The sequence below is a fragment of the Homo sapiens genome, chromosome 1, assembly GCF_000001405.40.
Source record: "Homo sapiens chromosome 1, GRCh38.p14 Primary Assembly".
Taxonomy (NCBI): domain Eukaryota; kingdom Metazoa; phylum Chordata; class Mammalia; order Primates; family Hominidae; genus Homo; species Homo sapiens.
This window is the reverse complement of record NC_000001.11, coordinates 186,216,112-186,231,123: the sequence shown is the minus strand read 5'-3', so window position 1 is coordinate 186,231,123 and position 15,012 is coordinate 186,216,112. Positions and strand designations below refer to the sequence as shown.

Sequence of the window (15,012 nt, the reverse complement as noted above, 5' to 3'; positions counted from 1 at the left end):
GCCACTATGCCCAGCTAATTTTTATTTTTTGTAGAGGTAGGGTCTCACTGTATTACACAGGCTGGTCTCAAACTCCTGGCCTTAAGCAATTCTCCTGCCTTGGCCTCCCAAAGTGCTGGGATTACAGACATGAGCCACCACACCCAGGCTGCTTATCTGAAATTTGAACTGAGTGCCTGACATTTCTATTTTTTATGTTTGGCAACCCTATATAGACATCATTACTTCAAAACAAATATTAAGCTGAAAATATAAAATTTAGTGGCTGCATTAGTTTCCTTTGGTGCTGCAACAAATTACCACAAACTTAGTGCCTTAAAACAATACAAATTTATTGTATTACAGTTCTGGAGGTAAGAAGTCTGAAATGGGTTTCACCTGGGTAAAATCAAGGTGTTACCAGGTGTGCACACCTTCTGAAGGCTCTAGGGGAGCATCTGTCCCTTGTCTTTTCCAGCTTCTAGAAGCCCTCTGCATTCCTTTGCTCACAGCCCCTCTATCTTCTAAGCCACCAATATTTCATCTTCCAGTTCCTGCTTCTGACCCATCTCCCTCATAAGAACCTTGTGATTACAGTGAACCCACCTGAATCACCCAGGGTAATCTCTCAATCTCATGATCCTTAATCACCTCTGCAAAGTTCCTTTTGCCACATAAAGAACATATTCACAGGTTCCAGGGATTAGGACATGAGCATCTTTGCAGGGCCATTGCTCTGCCTACCACAGCAGCTTTCCAAAAATATTAGACTCATGGATGTGAAATCTGTAACGAGCTAACTTTTGCTATCCTGTGTGATATGTCACTCTCAGTTTTCTGAGACTTTTCATCAGTTCTTTTTTTTTCTGCGAGGCTGAAAACAGGATTCTGTAAAGTAGCTGGTATACTAGCTCTGCAGTAACATACTTCAATCCTGTCAAGGCTGTGAGGAAATACAGCTATACCAGGGTACGAGACTGTCTTGAGTTATAACTTGGCAACAAAGGGGATGGGATGGAAGATGGGGTTGTTAAACAGCACCTTACTTTAAAGATGTCCAGAAGCTCCCTCTAGGATGTGGCCAAAGCCATGGGTGTTAAAAAGTACAGAAATGTGTCTAGAAGGAATTTTGAAGAATAATTCTTATTTTTAATTAACCTCTAAAGCAGCAGCATTGAGGAAAACTGTGGACAGAGTGATTAAAAGGCTGAGTTGATTTTGAAGAATAATTATCTTAGTTTTACTTAACCTTTAAAGAAGAAGCATCAAGGAAGAATGTAGACAAAGTAAAAGACTGAGTCAGAATGATGCCAAAGCAACTGCTGAATCTCATCATTTCAAACAACTGGACAATTTCTCCAGTTGGCTGAAAATACATCAAATTAATGGTGTCAGAAAAAGAAAAACATGATTACTTGCTTTTACTTTTCAATTGATTATGAGCATATAAAAGTTTTTAGAAATTATCTGGCACAGTACCTATTATGTTCTTGGATCTGTGCCTGACAATTTTACCTAATTATTTTTTTACTCCTTCATAAAAATCCTCACAGCAGGTATCCTATTCACTATTTTACACGAGCAGAAACCGAGGAGCAGAGAGATGAGCTTGTCTGTCCAAGGGGCAACAGCTTAATGTCAGAGTCAGAATTTAGATGCTGGTTTGTCCTAAACCCAAGACATTTTCATTCTCTGTGTCAAGTTTCTAAGATTTTGTCTTAGACATTGTTTGAAAAGCTATAAAAAGAGAATGTTGAAATGCCGATTAGAGAGGTTTTAATCGTTCTTTATTCCTCTATGGGGGAAGAGTCCTGTTGGTCATGTATAAATTTTCTTTAGCTGTATGGAAACAACCAGGTAGCAATTATTTAATAAGGATAATTATGTCCCTCTTTAGAGAAGTACATCCACCTTGTTTTCCATCCCCTCATTGCCCCATGTAGCTTAATGTTTGTTTTGTAAGGCTATAGTGAGGTAATACATTCTGAATGTTGAGGCATATTTTGGTTTTCTTTGGAGGAGACATTAATTTCTGGCCCTTCTTAATGTTCCTCTTTTGTTCTTTGTACAGTGAAGCACCAAGAGAGTTTCTATTTTTTTCCACAGAATTTTTACTGTCTTGAGGCATTCAGGGATTGGAAACCCAAAACACTGGTGAGCCAGTGACAGGCGTCGGCCCATGGTCGGACCCAACCCAATGACATAAGCTGAGACAATCTCACTCAGCCAGATTTGGTTTCTTTACTACGCTCTGCTGCAAATGTTTTTCTGAACACACCCAAATCCCAAGGATTTTCATCTTCTCTGGGCTCCGCAACATCCGCTGTGTCAAACAACAAGTTATTACAGAACAAACCCAGTCTAGGTTTCCAGTAGGATTCTTACTGGGGACACCATTCTTCCTTGCAACAGAATACCTAGAGGCAATGAGCTTCAAAGTCGTCCTTGATGAGCTTACTGGTCAAAGATGTTTGAAATCATTAGTTTCTGTTGAAGCATCCAGAGAAATGGAAACAGACCCAATGTTCTCTGACTTTGACCACTGCAAGGATCCTTTAGCAGCAAATGACTTAATGGAAATACATGGAGTGTTTTAAAAGCAAACTCAGTGATTTCTTTCACATTCTTGACTGCATTTTCTTTGATAAATAGCTGCATAATTTGTTGGCAAGGAGGGAATGCACGTTTGCAATGTAAGCATCTATTGACATGGAAAGAAGCATGATGTGGGCAAGTCAGGCAAACCTGAGTTTCAGTCTTAGCTCACCACTTACTAGCGGTGTCACCTAGGTAAATGTAACTGCCAGAGTCTTAGCTTTCTCAGTGGTAGAATGGTTAGTAATACCCATAGGATGCTACTATGAGTATTACAGGAAAGGGGTCTCGATCCAGTTCCCAAAAGAGGGTTCTTGGATCTCACATAAGAAAGAATTCAGGGCGAGTCCATAGAGTAAAGGGAAAGCAAGTTTATTAAGAAGGTAGAGGAATAAAAGAATGGCTACTCCATAGACAGAGCTGCTGGTTGCCCATTTTTATGGTTATTTCTTGATGCTATGCTAAACAAGGGGGGAATTATTCATGCCTCCCCTTTTTAGACCATATAGAGTAACTTCCTGATGTTGCCATGGCACTTGTAAACTGTCATGGCACTGGTGGGAGTGTAGCAAAACTATCATCACCATCTTGGTTTTGTTGGGTTTTAGCGGCTTCTTTACTGCAACCTGTTTTATCAGCAAGGTCTTTATGACCTGTATCTTGTGCTGACCTCCTATCTTATCCTGTGACTTAGAAGGTTTTAGCCATTTGGGAATGCAGCCTAGCAGATCTCAGCCTCATTTTACCTAGCCCCTATTCAAGACGGAGTTGCTCTGTTCACACGCTTCTGACATTTCCCCCTCCCTTTTTATAAAAGAACCCTTAATCCTAAGAATTGCAGAAGGATGAAGATTCATCTTCTGTAACTTCTTCAGGCTGAATAGGAGCGATGATATTCCTGCCGAACTATGAGGGTTTCTTGTGTTCAGGGTAGAGAGAAGCTCAGTCAGAAAGCATCTGTATGGTGAGGGCCATTCATAACTCCAAGTTTCAGCAAAGGCTGATATCTGGAAGAATAATAAGTGTTCAGTTTAAGAAAACAGTAAGCTTATCCTGCATTGCTACACAAAGAGTACAATACAACAGCAATATATTCCACAACAGTAAAGCAAAATAAGTAAACTTATTCCAAGTAAACTAAATTAGAAAGCTTTCCATGAACTGGGCAACTGTGGGAACCAAGCTGATAATGGGGTCACTAGCTGATTGCAGTGTGTCCAGAATTAGAATATTGATGCAGATTTTTACATTACCCATTTCTCTTGTTTCTTCTAAGCAGCAGTCAGAGATCATGGTTAGTTCACAGGAAGAAGCAAGGCTAGTCTAAAATGCAGAAACAAACTTAAAAAACAACTGAGACTAGAATTTAATAATAAGTGTGCCATAGTTCTTGAAACATGTTTCTCCAGTTTTCCATTTATACTAAAGAAAAATTATGGTAAGACCAATTTGCTTTATTGTACTTTGCCTAATTATTTGTATAAAGTGCAGCAAGAATAATTATTTGCCATGTAAGCTTTTTAAATTGGTTTTGGTGTGGAACTCTGTTCCATAAGGAATCTCAAATAAGACTTTTTTTTAAAGCTGAGCCCAGCCTTGGGTTTGTACCCTCAAATATCTGAGTTGAGCAAATTCTTCTCCTCTTGAGGTTCCAAGACAACTTGGGGCTTCTGGGCCTGATAGAAAGTGGCATTATTTACTTACTACAGGTCAGAAACCTTATACACAGACTGTGTAGACAAGGTATGAGGCATTTCCCAAGGGGCTTTTATTGGCTTTACGAGTCAAGTTTGATTTCTTAAAGGAAAACTTTAAGTTTTCCAGTCAAAGCCTTGGTAAAATACCCAGTTTTTCCAATTGTGTCCTGTTACAAAAAAAAAAAAAAAAAATACTGCACTTATGCAAATAACTATATTGCTATAAGTTAATACAAATAGTTCCCAAATTCTAGTGAAATTGGGTAGGGAGAAACAAATATGCTCCAAAATTTGTTTACAGGAGTATACTTAATTGCTACAAGCTGTAAATAGCTTAAAAGTTTTCTTAACGCCGAAAAACAAAACAAAGGATCAGGAACGTTTTAAGCAAAGTTAAAAAGATTACTTTAGACTTCTTTGGTTTAGTCCATGCAGTTAACTTCCGTTTGATATTCATAAACATTACAGCTCTCTCTGAGAGTTCTGAAAGTGGCTTCCTCTAGTCTGATGTCACAGTCTCCAAAGTTATCAGAAATCTATATTTAAGAACACCTGTTCAAGTCCTATAGCTGATTATAAACCACCTTTCAAAATGGATTAAAACAAGACAAAAATGGTCTGTGGATGACAAAACATCTTAGGACAACCACAGTCAAAAACACGATTGACAAAGAAATTTAGTTACCTCTGTGGCACACAATAATTTAACACAACAATTATAATTATTACTGATGACATATACTGAGGCATATCAGAACTATCAGAGTTTTTATAATTTTGGAACACATACCAATAACACATTTATACAAATACAGCCCAAAGAAAAACACCATTTCATATTTGACAATGCTCCATGTATGATTTTTATGCCAAATAAGCCAAATGTCACTGCCGCACTTGTGCACTATTAATGTTATAAACCCAATTCTTAAACCCTATAGACAAATATATTTAGTCTTAATCAGTTTGACCATAAGGTAAGATTCTTATAAACCTTTATAACCCTTTACAATTTTTTGTTAAAGAGCAGATCATAAGCAGGTTTTTGCTGTAAGAAAAGCCTGTTGTACTTTTATTCCAGTGTGTACTTTAGAAAAAAAACTGAATAATGTCCATTTAACTTTAGCCAATATGTTATGGGCAGAATTTCTTTTACAAAAATTTTTTTTAGAAACTTTCCACAACTTGCTTAAACCTTCAGCTTTATTCTATTTAACTTAATCCTTTAAATCTCTACACTTAGGCAAGAAATCCGCATTCCCAATTCCCATGCTTTCTTATCTTTTACCAAAAGCACATTCTACTGTCCTTACATGCCTTGTGCCTTGTGTGTAAAACTTTTTTTCTTTTTTTTTTTAATAGTCTCAAACACATGTTACACTGTTAACTCTTACTAAGGTTTTCACCAAAAGTAAAGGTTGCTAAGTTCAGGATTTTAATTATGTACTAGGTATGGAGCTTACAACCAGACAGAAATGCAGATAAGGTCTAACTCTTTCCAATGTCTAACTCCACATGTCCCAGGCCTTAGCTGTAAAGCAGGCAAGTTGTACAGTAAGAGTTATAGTGGCATTTTATGAAGCATTTAGGAGGCCTAATCATCTTTAAATCGTACATTTCTTGCATAACTTCCCTGTCATAAATTCTTTCACAACTTACATAGACCATGCTTGGACTTTCTGACTTCTCCTAAACATCCCCCCCCTTTTTTTTTTTTTTTTTTTTTATGAACAACCAGTCATTTTACTTTAGGACAAGAATCTATCATAGAAGATCCTTTCTTATATAAAATCTCTTTAAAACCTTCTTTACATAGCTAGGGGGTAGGGCTAATTCCATATGTCCCCCAGCCTTATCTAGGATCTAATGCTCCAAAGTAGGTAAGCTGAACAATTTTCAAATATCAAGGAAGCAGTTTATGACCTTAAAGCATTTAGCAAACTTAATCTGACCTGCATAATTTAGAACAAATGTTTACATTTTTGAAACAATTTTCATTTTACCAATAATCTTTTAAACTGTCTTTATTTCCTAAAGATTACTTAAGTCACATGAACTAAAGAAAAGGCATTATACTTTTTACTTTTCTGACGAAGTATTTGATTTATTATTAAGCCAATTAAGTAAAGGCCTTTCGTATGTAAACATCACACACACAACACATATAAATACATAGAAGATAAAGGACTTATTTTCTAAGCCAGGAATTGTACCCTGAACCTGGGCTGCCATTGTGAAAAGAGAAAGCACAGCCATGAGGCTACAAGGTTAAGCTCCCAAGGACATACAACACAAGAAGGAAACCTCATCCAGTTTTTTTAGGGACCTGCAGTAAAATTTATAACTGACCAGTTTGCTTGGCCATCTTGAACAGCAGGTCTATGGGGTCCTAGGCATTCATTTTATCCTGAGGTACTCCTCATTATGACAGAACAATACATGAAGACACACAGCACACTAGATTTGCTACAGCTTAAGAAGACTAGCCTCACAAATCCTTTTTCCCACTAATCAAAACTTCACAGAGGAGATAAACAGTGATTTTTACCATTTGTTCAACCAGTCTGCTGAGAGAGAGAGAGAGAGAGAGAGAGACAGAGAGAGAGAGAGAGGCATTGCCTGAGGCAGGGTGGGGAAGGCAAGTCGCTCAGGGAGGCCAGAGAAAGACCCATCCATTGCAGTGACACTGAAACGTTCAGGCGGCTGCTTGTAGGTACCGAAGGGATCTTTTCCAGTAGTCTCATTAGCTCTCAAGTTTCGCTTTTTGGGGAGGAAAAAGCTCGCCATGTCCCACGATCCTGTACTTGCTTAATCCTGTAACCCGTAGCCATCAGCAAAGAGTGCAAGGCAGATTATTCCAAAGAGAATAGCAGTTAACATCCCATAGTGCCAAACCTGGAGAATAGCAGTTAACATCCCATAGTGCCACACCCATTTTTAGCTGAAAGAGACTTTACTGAGAGGGGCTTCTAATCCCCTAAATCTTAGAAGGGACTCTAACCCTTCTAAGTTGGGCCTCTAATCCAAGGTCGGTCAAGCGTCCTTGCCTTTTAGTAAGGGGCCTTTAACCCACCCTGTCGTAGGAGAGACTCTGACTCCCCTAAATTGGGCCTCTAACCCAATCCCATCCTTTACCTGAGTACCTCACCACTTACCCAAAGTTGGCCAATCAGTGCTGGAGTCTATTTCCTTTGGATTGGGGGGTTTCTTCAGTATTGTCCCTTCAGGGTTCACCAGAAAGATGTTACTGGACCACACCACTTACCCAAAGTTAGCCTTTGGATTGGGGTTTTCCATACTATAGTGGCTTCTGTGATCTCCAGAAAGATGTTACAGGACAGAGGTCCCTCGTTCTCTATCTTTTGGAATAGTGTCAATAGGATTGGTATCAATTCTTCTTTGAAGGTCTGATAGAATTCAGCTGTGAATCTGTCTGGTCCTAGACTCCTAGGCATTTTTTTTGGTTAGCAATTTTTTTAAAATTACCATTTCAATCTTGTTGCTTGTTATTGGTGTGTTCAGAGTTTCTATATCTTCCTGGTTTAATCTAGGAGGCTTGTATATTTCTAGGAATTTATCCATCCCGTCTAGGTTTTCTAGTTTTTGCACATAAAGATGTTCATAGTAGCCTTGAATAATCTTTGTGTTTCTGTGAAATCAGTTGTAATGTCTCCCATTTCATTTCTAATTGAGCTTATTTGGATCTTCTCTTCCTCTTTTCTTGGTTAGTCTTGCCAATGGTCTATCAATTTTATTTATCTTTTCAAAGAACTAGCTTTTGGTTTCATTTATCTTTCTTTTTTTTTTTTTGGTTCCAATTTCATTTAGTTCTGTCTGATCTTTTGTTTTTTTTCTTCTGCCGGGTTTGGGTTTGGATTGTCCTTATTTCTCCAATTCTGTAAGGTGTGACCTTAGATTTTCTATTTGTGCTCTTTCAAACTTTTCGATGTAGGCATTTAATGCTATGAACTTTCCCCTTCAGTGAAATAGATAGCATAAATAAAAAACAATCACAACTTCTGGAAATTCAAGGACCCAATTACAGAAATGCAAAATGCACTGGAAAGTCTCAACAATAGAATCGAAGAATCGAACAAGCAGAAGAAAGAACTTCAGAGCTTGAAGACAAGGCTTTCAAATTAACCCAATCTATTCAAGACAAAAAATTTTAAAAAATGAACAAAGCCTCTAAGAAATTTGGGACTGTTAAACGTCCAAACATAAGAATAATTGGTGTTCCTGAGAAGAGAAATCTCTCCCAGCAGGGCTACTGGGCTCTGGGGTGGCACTAGGGAGTATTTGCGAAGAGTGCTCTGATGTGATCTGTCTTCAGATCTTTCAGCTGTGGATACCAACACCTACTCTGGTGGAGGTAGCAGAGGAGTGAACTGGACTCCCTTAGGGTCCTTGGTTGTGTTTTTGTTTAATGCACTGGTTTTGTGTTGGTTGGCCTCCAGCCAGGAGGTGGTGCTTTCAAGAGCTCATCAGCTGTGGTACCATAGGGAGAATGCAAACTTGCCCTAGGGTCACCTGGTTAAGTATTCAGATTTCTCAGGTGTGGTGAGCAGGGCCATAGAGCTCCCAAGAGATGATGACCTTTGTCTTTGGCTACCAAGGCGGGTAGAGAAAGAACTCCAGGTTGGGTGCAGGGATGGGTATTTCTGGGCTCAGCCTCTCCTTGAGTGGGGCTTGCTGGGGCTGCTGTCGGGGATGGGAGTGTGGTTCCCAGGCCGACGGAATTATGTTCCCAGGGGCATTATGGCTGCCTCTGCTGAGTCATACAGGTCCCCATGGAAGTGAAGGAAAGCCAGCAGTCATAGGCCTCACCCTACTCCCATGCAGCCTGCAGTCCTAAAGGCCAGTGTTACTCCCACTGTGCCCCCACCAACAGCACCGACTCTATTTCCAGGCCGCTGGTGACCAGGGCTGAGAAGTTGCCCCAGACCATGAGCCTCCCCACTGATAAAGCAAGCCGACTCAGTTTTTCAGCCTCTCAGGGAGCCTGCAGTGGTGATCAAGTTTCTTCAAAGGGTCTGTGGATTCTCTCAGATTTTCTGATATGTTCCTGGCATAGTCCTTGGAACAAAAGTTCATAATGTAAGTCTCCACGCTGCTCTGTCTGTCTCAGTGGGAGCTGCAAGCCAGTCCTGCCTCCTATCTGCCATCTTAATCCCAAGGGGTTATTCCCTTTTTACTGTTGTGCTTCAAGCTAGCCCCAGGGAGCCAGAACTGACTCCTGCAGAGGCACAAATGGTGCTAGAAGTTCTGCTGTCAATGCTTGCATCTTAAAAGTGGTTTAGACTCTAAAAAATTGAGTTCAATAGCCCAAGTTGTAGTCAAATTACAATGCACGTTGACTACCCTGAGACTTACAAGACTGGGCCAGCCAGGCTTAGGCAAGGAGGTAAAGTTGGTGAAATCGCTCTGGTGTGCTCTACCTGCCTTTTTTATGTCCTTTCCAGTTGGCGATGATTAGACTGACCTGCAATCAGATTGCAGTTCTGCCCTTAGTAGCTGTGTGACCCTGAGAAGTCCACAAAGCCTTTCTGAATCTCAGGTTTTTCTCCCCATAGGTAAAAATGGGTAATTGTGAAGATTAAAAGACATGACAGAAATACAGAAAAAAAGAGAAAAAATGCTTTTGTTCTAATTCTGTCTCTCTTTCCCCATTTCCCTATGGGGCTCTGCTCTAGCCATACTGGTCTTCTCTCTCTCCCTCAAATTGCTCAGCTGCTTGGTGCCTCAGGGCCTTTGCACATGCCCACTGCTTTGCGTGGAATATTACTCCTTATGTCTTTGCATGGCTTCCTCTTTTCCTCCCATTTAGGTGTCTGTTAAATTTCTCCTTGCAGTGGCCTTCTTGGACTTTGCTTTACAAAACAAGGAACACTCACCCTTCACTATCTCTTTAGCCTAATTTCTGTTTTCTTCATAGCCTTCATTATGGAAAGAAATTATACAATGTATGTATTATGTACTCGTTTAACTACCTCCCCCACTAGGCTGATGGATCCAAGAGGGTAGGATTTTTCTGTTGTTTGTTTTGTGGCTGAATCCTTATGGTGCAGGAGAGCACCTGGCACACGATTGAGGGTCATTAAATATTTTTGCATGAATGAAAAAACAAATGAATACAATTAATGTGCTTAGCTCAAAGTGGATATTGTGAAAACATTAGCTTTTTTTCCTTTCTGGTGTCCCATTAAAGCTATCAACAGTTTTTTGTTCATTTTCCAAAAATATGTGCATTTAAGAGAGGCTATCTGAAAAGGCAATGGCATAACCCGTAGGACTGTCCAATGCTGGCAGTTCAGAGCCCAGGCCTAAGAGCCTATGTGTAATTCTTGAGCCAGGGTATTTACCCTTGTACTCAGACCCCAACTAACTGCTTTGATGGGTTAGCAGCCAGCCTGAGAAAAGACGAAGTTAACTGATCCTGAAAAGCAGTGAAGATGAGGAAATATCCTCTCACCCCACATGTTAGGGAAAAAGGCTTACTGCAGAAACCACCCTTCCTCATATGACCTAGATAAGACTCGGGGACACTTTCCTTGTTTACCCATGACAAGGCCAGACACAGATTTTCCAAACCCTCATTCTTTCCCTCATAATTAGCCAAACTGCTTGTCATTACTGGTCAATGAGATCAAAATGACTGTTAACCACACTTTGGTTTATTCTTTCTCTCCTCCTCCCGGTTTCCTGAACATTGTCCCACTCAGCCCAGCATATCACCCCTGCTAAGAATAAGTCAGCCTTAAGGTAAACATTCTCTGGTCCACTGTCTGACCATGCCCCCATTTATCCCACTTCCCCACACCCAGTTGTTTTCTAGTCTGTGTACAACTCCCTGTGAAAGAAAACCCCCTCATCTAATTCTTGAGACTCTTGCAGATCTGTGATAACAGCTCTCTCCTTATTCAAAAATCCCCCATCCCTTCTAGCAATAGCCTCTTCCCCTTGAAGAATCCTTCTTGAATAAATCTCTTCTTACTAAGTCTGGATTCTTTTTTAAATTCACAAAGAACAAGAATATTGCTTTTCAATGGCTGGTATGGGAGAACGGCTTTGGAAAACTTTAATTCATGTTAAATATGTCTTTAGGTTTTACCTTTTGAGTATACTTGCTGTTTTTCCACCTCCAGTGCTGCTGTTCATTATAACCTTATAAGCAGTTGCCATCTATCTGCTCTCACCTGGATTACTGCAAGGACCTGCTGGCTGACTTCCTTGTATTTGTTTTGTACCCACCCTAGTCTCCATCCTGTAGCTAAAGTGATTGTCCTAAATAGCAAAGTTGAGCAGGTCACTGCACTTGTTGAACTGCAAAATTCAACACTTTGGTGGCAAGCTAGACTTTTTTCTTAGTATTTTTCCCTTTCCTTTGCTCCCTTTGAAGAGGGAGCCAGCTGCAGTCTTCCTTATCTCTGGGGGAAGTGTGTGACATGGCTCCTTGTATTTTTGTTTTTATTTTTTTAAAAGTACCATAGAAGAGATTCTGTGAGGTATTCTAGCAGCTTTGAGAACAGAAGGAGTGTTTATGAGGGAAACTTGGCATGAAATCCCCCCACCCCCTGGATTAAAAAATAATAATAATAAAAGGCTCTGGGCAACGTGACAGAGTTCTGGGGATTCCACAGTCTCCAGGGGACTTGAGCTAGGTTCCACAGCAGACAGCTGGCATCAAAGGGCTCTGGCCAAGTGAACACCTGGGCAGAGTCAAGGCCAGTGGGTGGTACAGTGTTGCTATTAAGAGCAAAATGGTGCCCCGCAGAGAGTATGTAGGTCTAGAGTCAGAAAGATGTGGGTTCCAGGCCAGCTCTTCCATACATCAGCTCTAAGACAGTTCAGCTCTTTGAATTTCAACTTCCTAACAAGTAAATAGAGATAATGATAAATAGAACTTATTATAAGAAAGTTATGAGAAATATAAAACTGGGCACTTGGCTTAGACTAGGCACTCAATGAGTATCACTTCCTCTTTCAAGAATATAAATTGTGATCTAAATGTGAACATGGCTGTATCCTGTTGAGCACGTCAGAGGAAAGTCCTGTTGGTACAGATCTTTCCCGGTAGATACAAGGAATAAGACTGTGCTCAGCTCTGTGCTATTTGTGAACCATTTTGTATTCAACCTCTCAAGGTTGAATAAGGCACCTACCAGTTAAATACATCTACAAAGACCCCTATAACGTATGTATATTACCTCTTTTTAATGTTGAATCTTCCACAATATCATTTTTTTAAATTTTATTATTATTATACTTTAAGTTTTAGGGTACATGTGCACAACGTGCAGGTTTGTTACATATGTATACATGTGCCATGTTGGTGTGCTGCACCCATTAACTCGTCATTTAGCATTAGGTATATCTCCTAATGCTATCCCTTCCCGCTCCCCCAACCCCACAACAGGCCCCGGTGTGTGATGTTCTCCTTCCCGTGTCCATGTGTTCTCATTGTTCAGTTCCCACCTATGAGTGAGAACGTGCAGTGTTTGGTTTTTTGTCCTTGCGATAGTTTGCTAAGAATGATGGTTTCCAGCTTCATCCATCTCCCTGCAAAGAACATGAACTCTTCATTTTTATGGCTGCATAGTATTCCATGGTGTATATGTGCCACATTTTCTTAATCCAGTCTATCATTGTTGGACGTTTGGGTTGGTTCCAAGTATTTGCTATTGTGAATAGTGCTGCAATAAACATATGTGTGCATGTGTCTTTATAGCAGCATGATTTATAATCCTTTGGGTATATACCCAGTAATGGGATGGCTGGGTCAAATGGTATTTCTATTTCTAGATCCCTGAGGAATCGCCACACTGACCTCCACAATGGTTGAACTAGTTTACAGTCTCACCAACAGTGTAAAAGTGTTCCTATTTCTCCACATCCTCTCCAGCACCTGTTGTTTCCTGACTTTTTAATGATTGCCATTCTAACTGGTGTGAGATGATATCTCATTGTGGTTTTGATTTGCATTTCTCTGATGCCCAGTGATGATGAGCATTTCTTCATGTGTTTTTTGGCTGCATAAATGTCTTCTTTTGAGAAGTGTCTGTTCATATCCTTTGCCCACTTTTTGATGGGGTTGTTTGTTTTTTTCTTGTAAATTTGTTTGAGTTCATTGTAGATTCTGGATATTAGTCCTTTGTCAGATGAGTAGGTTGCGAAAATTTTCTCCCATTCCGTAGGTTGCCTGTTCACTGTGATGGTAGTTTCTTTTGCTGTGCAGAAGCTCTTTGGTTTAATTAGATCCCATTTGTCAATTTTGGCTTTTGTTGCCATTGCTTTTGGTGTTTTAGACATGAAGTCCTTGCCCATGCCTGTGTCCTGAATAGTAATGCCTAGGTTTTCTTCTAGGGTTTTTATGGTTTTAGGTCTAACATGTAAGTCTTTAATCCATCTTGAATTAATTTTTGTATAAGGTGTAAGGAAGGGATCCAGTTTCAGCTTTCTACCTATGGCTAGCCAGTTTTCCCAGCACCATTTATTAAATAGGGAATCCTTTCCCCATTGCTTGTTTCTGTGAGGTTTGTCAAAGATCAGATAGTTGTAGATATGCAGCATTATTTCTGAGGGCTCTGTTCTGTTCCATTGGTCTATATCTCTGTTTTGGTACCAGTACCATGCTGTTTTAGTTACTGTAGCCTTGTAGTATAGTTTGAAGTCAGGTAGCGTGATGCCTCCAGCTTTGTTCTTTTGGCTTAGGATTGACTTGGCAATGTGGGCTCTTTTTTGGTTCCATATGAACTTTAAAGTAGTTTTTTCCAGTTCTGTGAAGAAAGTCATTGGTAGCTTGATGGGGATGGCATCGAATCTATAAATTACCTTGGGCAGTATGGCCATTTTCACGATACTGATTCTTCCTACCCATGAGCATGGAATGTTCTTCCATTTGTTTGTATCCTCTTTTATTTCATTGAGCAGTGGTTTGTAGTTCTTGAAGAGGTCCTTCACATCCCTTGTAAGTTGGATTCCTAGGTATTTTATTCTCTTTGAAGCAATTGTGAATGGGAGTTCACTCATGATTTGGCTCTCTGTTTGTCTGTTATTGGTGTATAAGAATGCTTGTGATTTTTGCACATTGATTTTGTATCCTGAGACTTTGCTGAAGTTGCTTATCAGCTTAAGGAGATTTTGGGCTGAGACGATGGGGTTTTCTAGATATACAATCATGTCATCTGCAAACAGGGACAATTTGACTTCCTCTTTTCCTAATTGAATACCCTTTATTTCCTTCTCCTGCCTAATTGCCCTGGCCAGAACTTCCAACACTATGTTGAATAGGAGTGGTGAGAGAGGGCATCCCTGTCTTGTGCCAGGTTTCAAAGGGAATGCTTCCAATTTTTGTCCATTCAGTATGATATTGGCTGTGGGTTTGTCATAGATAGCTCTTATTATTTTGAGATAAGTCCCATCGATACCTAATTTATTGAGAGTTTTTAGCATGAAGGGTTGTTGAATTTTGTCAAAGGCTTTTTCTGCATCTATTGAGATAATCATGTGGTTTTTGTCTTTGGTTCTGTTTATATGCTGGATTACATTTATTGATTTTCATATGTTGAACCAGCCTTGCATCCTAGGGATGAAGCCCACTTGATCATGGTGGATAAACTTTTTGATGTGCTGCTGGATTCGGTTTGCCAGTATTTTAATGAGGATTTTTGCATCAATGTTCATCAAGGATACACAATATCATTTTTACTGGGCTTTCTCTCAGATGATTATCTTTGGGATT

General features: G+C 39.9%; 1 long non-coding RNA gene across 1 annotated transcript, besides 1 other annotated feature; it reads right to left on the bottom strand.

Annotated features, from left to right (window-relative positions):
- Positions 1–2,930: 2,930 nt before the first annotated feature.
- LOC124904471 (uncharacterized) lies at positions 2,931–6,677 on the bottom strand. Its single transcript, XR_007066773.1, has 2 exons — positions 6,621–6,677; positions 2,931–3,581 (listed from the first exon to the last, which is right to left on the bottom strand). It is a non-coding gene; the product is annotated as an uncharacterized LOC124904471 (long non-coding RNA).
- Positions 12,081–12,281: a silencer, noted in NCBI's record as "peak514 fragment used in MPRA reporter construct". NCBI's record gives its function as "represses an SCP1 promoter by STARR-seq MPRAs in K562 erythroleukemia cells {active_cell/tissue: K562}" and the evidence as "EXISTENCE:reporter gene assay evidence [ECO:0000049][PMID:32103011]".